A 15,000-nucleotide genomic window follows, 5' to 3' on the forward strand; every position below is an offset into this window, starting at 1 on the left:
TTCTTTCTCTTGCCTGATTGACCTGGCCAGAACTTCCTATAATATGTTGAACAGGAGTGGTGAGAGAGTTAGCCTTACCGTTTTCTCCTGGATCCAATCTCAAGTGGAATTTAAACTTGCAAAGCCCTACTGATATTCTAGAAATTTCTAAATTTTTAAAAAAGTATTAGCAGGTTAAATCTCTATAAATCTGATTTTTCTCTGTAGAGTATATCTTTTTAAAAATTACCCATGATCTTTCCTCTTGTGAAGTTAGATAAAATGGATAGAGTTATTAGTTGCTCACATTCCCCTATTTTATTACTTTTAATAGTTTAATATATTATCATTTATTTATTATTATATTATTTAGTATTAGTATTATTTATTAGTTTTATTGCTGGCAGAGACCCTCTGTCTACTATAGATGGATTTTTTTCCTTCTCTGCTACATTATTCCAATCAGGAGAGAGAAATAAAACAACTTTCTGACCTAGATTTTCAGCTACTCCTTCATTTCTTGGCTCCCATATAGCAATCTCCTAGGGAAAAAAAACATTGTCTATATTTGCTGTCTCCAGTGCCTCTCCTAGCATTCTTTCTTGAGATAATCCCAGTCACATTTGGATTCCTACTACTCTCCTGATATTGCTCATGTCAAGGTCAACTGTGATCTTCATGTTTCTGCACCCAGTGGTTGATTCTGTTGATTCTGTCTGCAGCTCCCTGGACTTATTTGCAGTATACAACATTGTTGATCTTGCCTTTCTCTGGGAAACATTTTCTTTTTTTGGCTGACTTTTAGTATACCTCATCTTCCTGGTTTTTCTCTTACCTCATTAATTGTCCCTTCTCAGTCTAATTTTCTGATTCGGCTTCATCACCTTGGCCTCAGAATGTCGGTATTGCCCAAAGCCCATTCTTTAGCCCTCTTCTCTATCCTTATGCAATCTCTTGACACTCTCATCCAGACTCAGGGTTTTAAATGTCCTCAATGATATGTCTATCTCTCATCCAGACTGCATCCTTGAACTCTAGATTCATACACAGAGCAGCCTATTCAATACTTCCACTTGCATGCTAATGGATGTTTCAAACTTAACCACATCTAAAATGAAGCTTCTAATTTTTTCCCAAAACTTGTACAACGTACAGCCCTCTTCATCACAGCTAATAAAAATCCCATTCTTCTACTTGCAGTTATCTATGATTCCTCATCTCTTCTTATATCCAACATCTTAACTTTAATGTGTGCGTATATATGTGTGTTTGTGTGTGTTCGTGTATACAAAAGTGCATATATGTACATATATACACTAAAGTGTACATATGTGCAATAAAGTATATTAGTACTTATTGGTAAATATAGCATTCATTTAAGTACTAGTATTAAGTATTGATATAAGTACTAATCTTGGTATTATTTATAAAAAATATATATCCAGAATTTGACCACTTCATAGTGTCTCTATCTTTGACATCTTGATCCAAACCACCATTATCTTCTGCCTAGACTGTGCAATCACCTTTTCCTTAGTGGCCTTGCATTCATTCTTGCCTGCTACAGTCTGTCTGAACACAGCAGCTAGAATAATCTTATTAAACCCCCAGGTTACTCTTCTACCTGAAACTCTGCAATTTATCATTTCTCTCAGAGTTAAAGCTAAGGTCTTTACAATGGCTTGCAAGTCTCTAAATGATCTACCACCCAATCCCTCTTAGTAACTCTCTGATCTCACCTTCTCCTTGTCTTGTTCTCTCTCACTCCATCCCAGACACGCTGTCTTCCCTGCTGATCCTCACACAAGCTAGGCATTCCCCTCGCTTCCCCAGAGCTTTCACCTGGCTATTTCCTATGCCAGAAATTCTTTTCTCCATCTTCCCTCTTCTTTGAATTTTTGCTTAAATGTCATGTTATCAGTGGGCTCTACTTAAATGTTATCTCAGATTTTCCCATCCCTATTATCCTGCTTTGTTTTTTTTCTATAAAAAGTATTACTTCCCAACATACTAAATAATTTACTTTTTTATTATGTTGATGATATAGCTTTCCCACTAGAACGTAAGATAGAGGGGTTTTTTTTGTTTGCTTTTTTGTTTTGTTTTGTTTTTGTGAGAAAAGTCTCGCTCTGTCACCCCGGTTGGAGTGCAGTGGCACGATCTTGGCTCACTGTAACCTCGGCCTCCTGGTTCAAGCGATTCTTCAGCCTCAGCCTCCTGAGTAGTTGGTATTACAGGCACATGCCACCACACCTGGCTAATTTTTGTATGTTTAGTAGAGACGGGGTTTACTATGTTGGTCAGGCTAGTCTTGAACTCCTGACCTCGTGATCCACCTGCCTTGGCCTCCCAAAGTACTAGGATTACAGGCATGAGTCACCACGCCAGGCCAAGATAGAGGTTTTATCTGTTTCATTTATTTTCATATCCCCAGAACCTAGAACTACACCTATAACATTGTAGGCATTCAATAAATATTTGTTGAATGAATGAGTGAATGAGTGAATGAATGAATGAATGAATGAAGAGCATGGGGTTTACTCCTATGAATAAACTTCCTTGGTTTACCAGGTCAACATCTAGTCTTTACATGTGGGACCAACAAGGTCAAATACAAAATAACACCCAAAGCATCCAATTTAATAAAAATAGAGAGTAGGAATGTAGTAAATAGTTTCTAAACATATGGCTGGAATGATTATAAATATTTTCCAATGTTGATTCAGCACTTTACAGAAAAACAGAGGGTTTGGATTTTCTAGCCCTTTAATTTGCTCAGAGAGAAAGAGAAAAAGCATGAACATCTTTGTTGATGGAGAGATAGCCTCCTCACCACCTGGGAATGATAGATTTCTTTCATAATAAAAGTATCTGTTTTGCATGGTGCCTCACATAGAGTAAATGCCCAATAAAGAGTTATTGACTCACTGAATGAATGAATGAGTGCTGTATATTGCCCATTACAGTGAGTATTAAAGTATTTTAAAAAGTAATCAGGAAATAAGAAATCAGACAGTGTACCACCAGGAATTTTGAATAAAATTCTGTCCATTGCTTTTTGAAATAGACTTTTAAGTGGAATTTGTGATTGAGAGGGTCCTCTTGACAACTGAGAGATGTGCCTTCTTCTAGATAGAGTGGACTGGAAATAGTTGGGATCACTACCCACGGAGGCCAAAGGAAGCTTGGGAACGTACAATTTCTGCAGGGCCCAACTTCAAAAGCTGGCATGTGGTGTATAATCAGCTGGTGCATAATCAGAAGTGTGTACAAATTTAGTCCAGAATTGCAGGCTTGGAAATGATAGATTTTAATACTTGCCCCAGTGAGTGAATCTGGTCAGGTTATCTCATGGCAGTTTTCTCATCATAATCTAGGGATGATGATACTTGTTCTATAGATACTTTTTGTGTTATGTTTGGGATAAGCAGGGGATTGTGTGTGTGTGTGTGTGTGTGTGTGTGTGTGTGTGTGTGAACATGCACTGAATGGAGCAAAGAGCTATAATGCAAGGTAATAGTGATTAGTTGGGTGTTTTTTAAACTAATCCTTAAAGTGGTTTCCTACTAGTGACTAAAAACAATGAGCAAACATGCGTTCACTTCTTTTCCAATGCAGTTTGACAACACTGGAACATTTCAGGTGATTCCAGTTCCTCCAAATGGGGAAAATCAAACATTAGAAAGACTTCGGCGCTGTGCACTTTGCTATGGTAAGACCAATGAAGAGAATTGACTGTGCTGAAGAGCTTAAATGCCTTCTAGATGAGTTATTGAATGTGGTTTTATCCAGAGATTTCTATTTTTAATCATAGGTTCTATTTTCAGTTTTCTAGTTTTTCAATACCATATGTCATGGTTTCAATCTCTGGAATGTTTGGAGTTTCCATAGAATGTGAAAATTGGTTTAGAAAATTATCCCAACCAATGTAGCATTTCTTGGGGACAATTGGGTAGTTTGTATCAGAAGTCTCTAAAATATCAAAAATATTTCCTAAATGAGCTTGGACATGACTTGTACACTGCAGGTATCTGTGCTACCTACATCTGCTTTCAACAAAGCCCTTCCCTTATTGTCTGCTAGTGCCCGGAGAAGTACCGGGACATTGAAAATTTCTCATTAATTTAAATTATGTGAGATCAAAGAGATATTGATCAAATTATAATTCTTGGTAATTAGTCACTGAGTCACTTGAAGATCTCAAACAAGTGTCTTGTTGGGTCAGTGTTGAACCAATGATGTGTCTCTCTGTGTGTTTTCAGATAAATGTTTTCCAAATGCTTGCATTCGAGAGGCTTTCTTACCTGAAGATTCATACATGGATGTAGTCTTCCTCATAGACAATTCTCGGAATATAGCAAAGGATGAGTTTAAGGCTGTGAAAGCCTTGGTGAGCTCAGTGATTGACAACTTCAACATTGCTTCAGACCCTTTAATCTCAGACTCTGGTGATAGGATTGCTTTGTTGAGCTATTCTCCTTGGGAAAGTTCCAGGAGAAAGATGGGTACAGTAAAAACAGAGTTTGATTTCATCACTTATGACAACCAACTCCTAATGAAGAATCACATCCAGACTTCCTTCCAACAGCTAAATGGAGAAGCAACAATTGGTCGTGCCCTACTGTGGACCACTGAAAATCTTTTTCCAGAAACACCCTATCTAAGAAAACACAAGGTCATCTTTGTGGTCTCAGCTGGAGAAAATTATGAGAGAAAAGAATTTGTAAAAATGATGGCTTTGAGGGCTAAGTGTCAAGGCTACGTCATATTTGTGATTTCTCTGGGCTCTACACGTAAGGATGACATGGAGGAGTTAGCCAGCTACCCACTTGATCAACACCTGATACAGCTTGGGAGAATACATAAACCAGATCTGAATTATATTGCGAAGTTCTTAAAGCCATTTTTATACTCGGTCAGGCGTAAGTTATTATTTCATTGTTTGTCTTTTTTTTAATAAGCTAGTGTTTGTTAATACAGTATTGATAACCTATTTTTGTATCTATAGCTAATCTAAACATAATTTATGAATTAGATGGTGAGATAGGGGCAGGAATGGATCATTTGCTGGTTATACCCTGTTTATATCCTGGTCACAAAATGGTGAGGCCTGAGGCCTTTTTTTATGATAGTGTGTCTTTTAGCCAAACTCTCAGCACTAGAAAGCCACAGAGTGACTAGAGGTCGTATGAATCACATTTGCTCAAGAAGTTCTAGCAGCAGTTAGGTGATTTCAGAAGAACATTCACGTAAAAGTTTTACTTGCTATACCTGTTTTATTTCCAACTTTGGCACACCCTGGAGACCTGTGTGAGGATGTGAAGATAGCAAAGTCCTGGGCATGCACATCACCCAGGAATCTTGTTAAAATGCAGGATATTCTTACTGAGGATATCTAGGGTGAAGCCTGAGATTCTACATTTCTAACAGATACTGCAGTAATGTCAATGCTGCTGGTTCATGGATCACATGGCTCTAGGCCAGTGCACTACAAAGGGTTGCTCATTGCATGAGTGCCAGGCTACAAATTGATGTATAAAGAAATAAACACACAAATTGAGAGTAAACATCTAGAAACTTTTAAGGCAATTTGACATTGATTGCTGCAGCGTACAGTTGCATGACCAGTGGACTCTGTCTCATTGAACAGGATGTATCAGTCTGCAAAGAACTAGAAATAAGAATACCTCGTCCTCTATCACAGATGGTTTGGAAAAATGCTCTTCTAGAGCAATTGTTCTCAATATGGCACAATTTGCCCCAGGGGACATTTGGAAATGCCTGGAGGCATTATTTGACAGTCACAACTTGGGGATGCTACTAGTATCAAGTAAATAGAGGTCAGGGATATTGCTAAACATCCTACAATTCACAGGACAGACCCCCCACCACAACAAAGAATAATACATCCCCAAAAGTCAATAACACTGATGTTGAGAAACACTTCTCCATAATATCCCACAGAATCAGAGCTGAACCTTTTCTTTCTGGAAATCTGACAGGTTTAGAAGTAAACTTGGCTGGAATTAATTCCACCACTCTACAATCCCAGTTTCCTTGCTATTCAAAGGATCACCCCACAACACCACAGTGATAATGTCTTGAGCCTTCACTCTTCATTGCAAGGAGAGCTCCACCTTTCTCCTGTGATTCATATTCAATTAAAGAATCCAATAATTGCCCTCTTGGGAACACTGTTATTTCTTTACATCTAAGATGCCCTCAATTGTATAATGTAAAGGAAAAAAATGTTTCCAATTAAATTTTGATACCAACTTTCCTATTAGAGCATTTTGTTTTATAGCAATTGAAAGAGTTCTTTTGGATGTATAGTAAATATATCACTCCTGTGCATGCATAAAAAGAAAATCTATGTGAAATAGGCAGGTTAAGGCACTCCTAAAACAACTTCTGATTCAGAATTTGACTCTTGTGAGCTACTTCTTGGCTCAGAGTCATTGGTATCCATTTTTTTCTATGCAATTTTGTTCTTTGTGCCATTAAGATTGATGATTATGCAATATTTGTAAAAGACTATAAAACAACTCAAAGATGGTCATGCTGGGCTGTTAAGTGGCTTTGCAATCATGTAGAAGTAGCCTACTGTTGACTTCCAGCTGGGAAGTGTTAAACACACCCAATTCGCTGCCTTCCCACAACCACTTGGTTTGTAGGAGTGAAAAGGCTCCTCTGCTGGTATTTATGGGAATGTTTTCAAACTGCTCTCCCCAATTCTACAAGTTTTGGTGCTGGCATGTTTGCTGTTCCCACATGCACAGGCAATGACCACTGCATCACAATTCTTGCCCACCCAACAGTAAGTGTCAGATGCAATTAATCAGAAGATATATTTTCATTTTAAAGAAATAGAAAAAAGGAAAGAAATGCTTATCTTAGTATTTGAAAATGTGATTATTATAAAACTACAGATGTTATTTGAGATATTTTCATAGATCCTTGGATCAGTCAATGGCTGAAGGCCTTCTTTAACTAAAATCTTTTATTTTCCAGAATGGGACAGGGTAACATACTTCTCCATATTCCAAAATTTATAGAACAACATCAGGAAGGGGATAAATAGGCATATTATTTAGACCAGTAAGGTAAAATCTTGTCTATGATTCTTTTCCTCATAGGAATCAGTATTAGTGGGTGCAGAAGCACAGAAATGATATCAGTATCAAGTAATGAAACATTACCTTGTCTCTGTTTGATCCGTTAGCGTAAGTCTGGGTGAAAAACCTTTGATGAATCAGAATAGAGTATCTCTTAGATTATGTTAGCCTGAGCATGTGAAAATCATGTTTCCCTGCATCACAACTAGCTCTTAGATGAACAATTTGAGGAGGTCTGTTTCCATGACTCTGGTAATCCTTTGGCTGCTAAAACACTCTGAAATCAAATTTTGAGTGCTATTTCTAACTGCTGTTTTCTGTTTTCACCCCAGCCAAATTTTGCTGAAATATGTTAGTGACATTAGTTGCTTCAAGAGGATTCCTGTTGGGATTCTCTTTACCTAGGAAACATCATTTCCAGTTTTAAAATCTAACTATAACTTTGTTCTCTCAATAGGGGGATTCAATCAGTACCCACCACCGATGCTTGAGGATGCCTGTAGACTCATCAATTTAGGAGGAGAGAATATTCAAAATGATGGTTTCCAGTAAGTTAGAAAGCTCTTATATTTACAAGTGACTGCTAATTGGCTGATGGGAGTATAACTGGTTAATAACACTTTATTAGGCTGATGATGCTAACAAGGTCTCTGAAGTAGACATTTTATGTATTCCATTTTCCATAGCAGAAATTACATATCAAGTATGATTTCCAATTTGTTTTTATAACATCATAAGCTTAATTACAATTTTGCCTTTAAATTCATGGTTTCTTCAGAAATTCCTGTATTGAAATTTACCCCAGAATAGAACCCACAATTTATCTTCGATCCACCTCAACCTCACTTCTCATTTCTCCCAACCATGAGTTCTGGTCACACTGAACTCTTACCTGCCTTGTGTGAATTATTCCATTTCACACTGCCTGGGACTCTTGCTCCATTCGGTGAAACCCTAGGCATCTTTCATGACCCAGATTGAAGCCATTTTAGAGGCCCACCCTCAGGGGCGCATTCTCTTTCTCAGGGATGTTCCTTGCTGAGAAAAAGAATTCAGCGATATTTCTCCCATTTGCTTTTGAAAGAAGAGAAATATGGCTGTTTTCCACCCGGCTCACCAGCAGTCAGAATTTAAGGTTACCTGTCTTGTTCCCTGAACATAGCTGTTGTCCTGTTCTTTTTTCAAGGTGCCCAGATTTCATATTGTTCAAACACACATGCTCTACAATTTGTGCAGTTAACACAATCATCACAGGGTCCTGAGGTGACATACATCCTCCTCAGCTTACGAGATGACAGGATTAAGAGATTAAAGTAAAGACAGGCATAGGAAATCACAAGGGTATTGATTGGGGAAGTGAGAAGTGTCCATGAAATCTTCACAATTTATGTTTAGAGATTGCAGTAAAGACAGGCATGAGAAATGATAAAAGTATTAATTTGGGGGAACTAATAAATGTCCATGAAATCTTCACAATCCACGTTCTTCCGCCATGGCTTCAGCCGGTCCCTCCGTTTGGGGTCCCTGACCTCCCGCAACATCTCTCCCTTTCTTTTTATATAAATGTGCCATGGTGATGAAGGCTTAGTCGTTCTCTCGATTTTGAGGCAGGATTCTTTGACTGGTCCAGCACACTAAAAACAAGCCGATTAAACAGAGAAACATAATTCCAAAATTTACTACAGTGGAGCCCCCAATAGACTTAATCCAAGTCGTGGGGTTTAATCCATAAAGATTTTCTGCCACCTGATCTAACACCTCAGCTCCAGGCATGATGGATAAGTGAGCTTGAGAGGATTCAAAAATTTGTTTTTTAAATTTAGTTATGTCCAATGATAAGTTATCTTCCCTACCTAGAAGTTGTCCTTTGACCATTTCCCATGAATGATCAGTCTTGTTATAGGAATACGGGGTGATACAGAAATCCGAAGTATTCCAATCACACTGCATTTGCATGTGATGTTCGAGACTCACTACCTGATCTCCAAGCCAAATAACAGACTGTCTTAAATCATTAATTTGATTTGCCAATTTTTGATCGATGCCTTGTTGAGAATTCCACATTTGGGTGGAATTGGCTTGCCAATCATTAACAAATGAGCCATTTGAATGGATTGGTGTAATGCCATTCTGGCAGTGGTGGCCATTGCAGTGACTGTAATTAGGCCCATGATAACAGCAATTAAAGTGAAAACAAATCTTAGATCTTTTTAGAATTCACTGTAACACTTCATTAATTAAATGTATTGAGGGGGAGGATTCCCAAGGTCTGGGCAAAGTTACTGGAATCCAGATTCCTTCTCGAGCTCGAACCAACATTACACTTTTCCTGGAGTCAAAATGGGAGTTAATACAAGTGTTTAAATGACAATTAATGCGTTGGACAGTTTGATTATTCGTCCAAATTTTGATATTTCCCACTAACAGCATGTAAGGAGGCTTAACACAACTCTGTATGGGAACAGTCAGGTTGGAGGTAAGTAAGGCAGAATGTCTGGATCTACGTTGATACTGAGAGAGTGGGACAGTAGTGGGAACAACAGACAGAATAGTTTTCCCTTCCCATACTCGCAGTCCAGACATGGCAATTGCCAATTTCCGAAGTTCTGGGTGTTCTGGGCTCAGAATGGGGAGTATCATATGAGGCCTGGTGCGGGGGGGATAATGCCTTTATCTTCGCATTTTAAGGGAAAGAATGAGCTGAACCTCCTATGCAAAGCAGAATGATGATTCTCGTTCTCCTGATAAGAAATAAAATAAGTAGCCTCCAGGCATTCCCTTCTGCCAGAGGAGCAATTGTTTTTTAAATAGCCCTTTGGTGCCCAGTCTGTTACTAAACCATGTGAGTCATTTTTTAATATTACTGCATGTGAGTTAACACAGTCTTCCCAAATTAAAGTTTTAGATGGGCCCTCAAAATTTTTAGGGCATGGTTTTCCTGCAGGTTTATATTGAAAGTATGGGGTATCTCCCATTACTCCTCCTTTCATTTGTTTTAAAGGAGAAATGGAGAGGCCAGAGACCAAATGTCCCATTTTATCTGTAGCTGATCTTTCCGGAAGATAAACAGCCTGGACTTGAGTTTCTAGAGGGATACAACTAGGTGCATGTCCGAGGCACAGAGGGGGGTATTTATAACCCATGGTAACATTAAATGCAGTGCCTTCTTCTCCTGGTTGAGCAGGGCAATGGTCATCTCTTGCTCCAGGCATCCACACACTATCGTTAGTGTAGATTTCTGCAGGAGCATCTATCCAGGTGAGAGGTCGAATAAGTGGAGGAAAAGGCACATAAGCCCAATAAGAATAATTATGTGTAGCAGGTAAATCAGTGTGAGAGGAAACTGGTGAGACAGAAAGTATAAGGAGGAGAATCATTAAATAAAACCTAGTGTAAGTGAGATTCAGTGCTGAAGGAGGAAGAGAAGAACAGAGGGATGTTATTTTCAGGCTAATAGAAATGGTGAGATTTTTAGGTTTGTAAGAAGAAAAAGAAAGGTAATCAGGAGAAGTGGGATTAGTTAGATCGGTCTCCATTGCCATCAGGGAGGACTGATTTAAACCCATTGTGATTTGGTGTGCCTGTTTCTGTGGAGTCGGCACAGATCTCACCACGTCTGAGGGCAGTCTCTGACACAGACGTCTTTTCTCTGTGGTTTTCATTGTCAGTATTCACCTGAAGCTTGAGTCTTCTGGTGGGTACCCAGACAGGGGATTGATGATCTCCCGGTGAAACACAAGTATATCATCTTCCCCACGTTATAATTGTTCCAGGTTCCCAGGTATTGGTTTGGGAGTTTTTCCATAACACTGGCTTGTCTTCGTTTAAGGAGAATTTTTTGCCTGTATAATGGCGTTTGGCTGCAGTTAGAGTATTATCTTTAGGAACATTTAAAAAAATTAGAGTAAACAATGCCAAATGTAATTGGGAGTGGGGAGTAGTTAAATCATGTTTTGGTTGTTCAGACTGTTTGGACAATTGGGTTTTTAAAGTGCGATTGGCCCGTTCCACCACAGCCTGTCCCTGAGGATTGTAAGCGATTCCAGTAATATGGGAAATTCCCCACTGTTGCATAAATGAATCAAAAGCCTTACTAACATATCCAGCGGTATAGTCTATCTTTATTTGATATGGTAGCCCCAAAACTGCAAAGCAAGAATACAGATGTTTTTTAACATGGGTCATGCCTTCCCCTGTTTGGCAAGTAGCCCAGATAAAACCTGAGAAGGTATCTACAGAGACATGCACATATGACAGTCCACCAAAGGAGCTAGCACGAGTCACATCCATTTGCCATAAAGCATTAGCAGTTAGGCCTCTAGGATTAACGCCAGGTCCCTGATTTGGAAGTACGAAGACCTGGCACTGAGGGCAGCTGTGAACAATAAACTTAGCCTGTTTCCAGCTGAGAGCAAATTTATCTTTTAATCCAGCGGCATTGACATGAGTGAGATTATGGAACTCCTGAGCTTCTTGGATTGTAAAAGAGACCAAACAGTCGACTTTATGGTTACCGGCAGACATGGGTCCTGGTAAAGTGGTATGAGATCTAATATGTGTAATATAGAAAGGGTGTCTATGTTGGCAAACCGCGTGTTGTAACCTTGAAAATAAAGAAGCCAATTCAGAATTATCAATATGTTTGATAGTAGCAGTTTCTATATTTTTAGTGGCATGTACAACATAAGTGGAATCTGAGACAATATTTAAAGGTTTGGGGAAATCCTGTAAGGCAGTAATCACAGCAATTAACTCCGCCGTTTGAGCAGAAGTATAAGAGGTAGAAATAAGTTTGTCTGTAGGACCCATATAACGGCATTGCCATTACTGGAGCCATCAGTGAACACTGTAATGGCCTTAGGAATGGGTTGATCCTTGGTTAATTTAGGAACCACCCAAGATGTCATTTTTATAAAATCAAACAATTTGTTTTTTGGATAGTGATTGTCAATAATGCCAATAAAATCAGCCAAGTGAATTTGCCACAGTACGGAATGTTGAAAGGCAGCTTGAACTTTGAGCTGATTTAAAGGAACTACAATTACATTTGGATCAAATCCAGAAATTTGAAGTATTCTGCACCAAGCCTGTCCAATTAATATGGCTATTTGGTCTAGATAAACACACAAAGTTTTTAACACAGAATGAGGAAGAAAACACCACTCCACTAAATCATTATGTTGAACTATTAGTCCAGTAGGGGAGTGTAATGAAGCGAAAACCAGAAGCTGAAAAGGCTGAAACGGCTGTACTCTAGATAACTGGGTGGTCTGGATTCTTTCCTCTACGAATTCCAGTTCTAGTAAAGCCTCAGGGGTCAAAGTCCTGGGGCTGCGGAGGTCGGAATCTCCCAGCAGCATAGAGAACAAGTTAGACAGCACATAGGTCGGAATGCCTAAATTAGGTCTTAAATAATTAATGTTACCCAAAAGTTTTTGAAAGTCATTTAAAGTTTTTAAAGAATCTCTCCTAATTTGAATCTTTTGAGGTCGAATGCATTGTTTATCGACCACCATTCCTAAATATTGAACAGGAGTGGTCTGTTGAATTGTACCCTGAGTGATGTGTAATCCAGCCTCTGTAACACAGCGGCTCAAAATTTGGTAACAGTCAATTAATTCTTTATCAGTGGGGGCAGCAATTAAAATATCATCAATATAATGAAGAATATAGGGCTTGGGAAATTGGGCTCGAACTGGTGAAAGCACTTGTCCAACATGAAGCTGGCAGATTGTAAGGCTATTTAGCATTCCCTGAGGAAGTACTTTCCATTGATAACGAGCTGCAGGCTCCTGATTATTGATAGATGGTATAGTAAAAGCAAATTTTTCACATTCTGATTTATGTAAAGCAATATGAAAACAGCAATCTTTAAGATCAATAACTATGAGAGGCCAATTTTTAGGTATTAAAGCAGGGGCAGGTATGCCAGGTTGGACGGCCCCCATAGGTTTAATTACAGCATTAATGGCCCTTAAATCGGTTACCATCCGCCATTTGCCTGATTTCTTTTTTACTAGAAACACAGGAGAATTCCAAGAGAAAAGAGAAGATTCCACATTTCCAAGTTGTAAGTGTTCAGAAACCAATTGAGTTAAAGCCTCCAGTTTTTCTTTAGAAAGCAGCCACTGCTAAATCCAAATGGGTATGTCGGATTTCCATTGTAAAGGGATAGGATTCGGAGGCGTGGCAGCGGCCGCCACTAAAAAGGATAACCTAAACCAGCCCTGTTTTCTTTTATAGTAACTGGGAGGGGTTTAGTAATCCCTTCATGCTTTGGACTGAGACCGAGTCCAGGAACAAACCCCATGTTTTCCATCATATGCTGACTGGGAGCACTATAAGAGTTATGTGGAATATTAATTTCAGTCCCCCTTTGTGCCAGTAAATCTCTACCCCAAAGATTAATGGGAATTGGCATGATATAGGGCTGAATTGTGCCCTTTTGACCATCAGGGCCAGTGCAAGGCAAGATAAATGTGCTCTCATAAACTTCCTCAGCCTTTCCAACACCTACTAGTCCCATGTTAGCGGGATGTTTAAGCCAAGAGGAAGGCCATAAACTAGAGGAAATAACAGAAACATCAGCACCAGTATCTACTAGGCCCTCAGACTTTTTTCCTCGAATGTGTATGGTGCACGTGGGCCTTTGTTTAGAAATTACATTAATCCAATAAGCGGCCTTTTCACCGCCGGAGCCCATCCCAGGGCCACGTGCCTTATCTCCTTTGTTTAAAACGGTATTAGGTAGTAAAAGCAATTGAGCAATTGACTCACCGGCCAGAATGGAAACAGGAACCTTGGCAGACACGATTAATTTAATCTCATCAACGGAATCAGAATTAATGAGACCAGTATGAATGGTGATTCCTTTAGCAGAGGTAGATGCTCTACCTAACACCAGGCCCACCGAACCTTGAGGTAAAGGGCCAGTGACCCCCGTGGGGACAATCAAAGGCAAAGAATCAGGTAGTAAATTCAGAAGAATAGTACTACAGAGATCAACCACCCCGCCTCCTACTGTGGAGGTGGACAAGCATTGTACTGAGACAGAAGGAGAGGCTGGGACCCATTTGGTTTGTTGGGACCCATTTGGTTTGGCTGTAGGTAGATTTGTTTGTGCTGGGGGTTGCGTTGGGACCGCCTGAAGTGGAAATGCAACATTGGTGTGAGTTTGAAGTGTCCCATTTGATGTTGGGGCCTGGGACCAGCCCTGCTCCCCGTTTCCCTGGTGTTGTGGCAGGGGGTTTCCATCTATATCATACTTAGAGCGGCAAATATTTGCCCAATGTTTACCTTTGCGACAACGTGGGCAAACAGTAGGAGCAGCATTTGGCCATGTGTGTTGAGCCGGCTTGGCCGCTTGTAAGTTTTCAACAGTGCAATTTTTTCCAGTATGACCAAGTTGGCCACAAGTATAGCAGGCTCCAAGAGAAGAATTAGTGGGACCAGTTTGGTTGGTGTCCTTCATGGCCCGTGCCCACAGAATAGCTTTGTGGGTGTCTGATCCAATGCCTTCACAAGCTTTAATATATGCAGGCAAAACCTTGTGATCAGGTAAATTTTGTCGTTGGACAGAACGCATGGCCATTTTACATTCGTGGTTTGCATTTTCAAAAGCTAACATACGAAGGAGAATGCCTTGAGCGTGCTCATCAGAGACAGGTTTTTCAACAGCGTCTTGTAATTTAGCTAAAAAATCAGGGTATAATTCAGAGTGACCTTGTTTAACCATGGTAAAAGAAACAGGAGCTTGGTCTGTAGCGCGTAATTTATCCCAAGCTCTCATACACACCTTTGTTACTTGTTCTGTGGTGAGGGCATCAAAGTTTAATTGGGCATAAGTATCAGAGAAACTATTGGAGCCTGTGAGCTGAGCCTGAGTAATTAGAATGCCATTACTTCG

At 39.6% G+C, this 15,000-nt stretch overlaps 1 protein-coding gene across 3 annotated transcripts in view, besides 1 other annotated feature; it reads left to right on the forward strand.

Annotated features, from left to right (window-relative positions):
• Positions 1-15,000, forward strand: part of COL6A5 (collagen type VI alpha 5 chain) — a 139,175-nt gene that overhangs the window by 90,253 nt on the left and 33,922 nt on the right. For all 3 annotated transcript variants that reach the window (NR_022012.3, NM_001278298.2, NM_153264.7), the window contains exons 34-36: positions 3,598-3,691; positions 4,242-4,901; positions 7,552-7,642. Coding sequence is in view for 2 of the 3 variants with exons in the window: in NM_001278298.2 (NP_001265227.1) it covers positions 3,598-3,691; positions 4,242-4,901; positions 7,552-7,642 (845 nt within the window). In the remaining variant the exon portion in view is untranslated. The remainder of the gene's footprint in view (positions 1-3,597; positions 3,692-4,241; positions 4,902-7,551; positions 7,643-15,000) is intronic.
• Positions 6,324-6,881: an enhancer, noted in NCBI's record as "OCT4-NANOG hESC enhancer chr3:130161092-130161649 (GRCh37/hg19 assembly coordinates)". NCBI's record gives its function as "activates a minimal SCP1, AML or CMV promoter by ChIP-STARR-seq in primed H9 embryonic stem cells {active_cell/tissue: H9 hESC(primed)}" and the evidence as "EXISTENCE:reporter gene assay evidence [ECO:0000049][PMID:30033119]".

This window comes from Homo sapiens, chromosome 3 (genome assembly GCF_000001405.40).
Source record: "Homo sapiens chromosome 3, GRCh38.p14 Primary Assembly".
NCBI classification, from domain to species: Eukaryota; Metazoa; Chordata; class Mammalia; order Primates; family Hominidae; genus Homo; species Homo sapiens.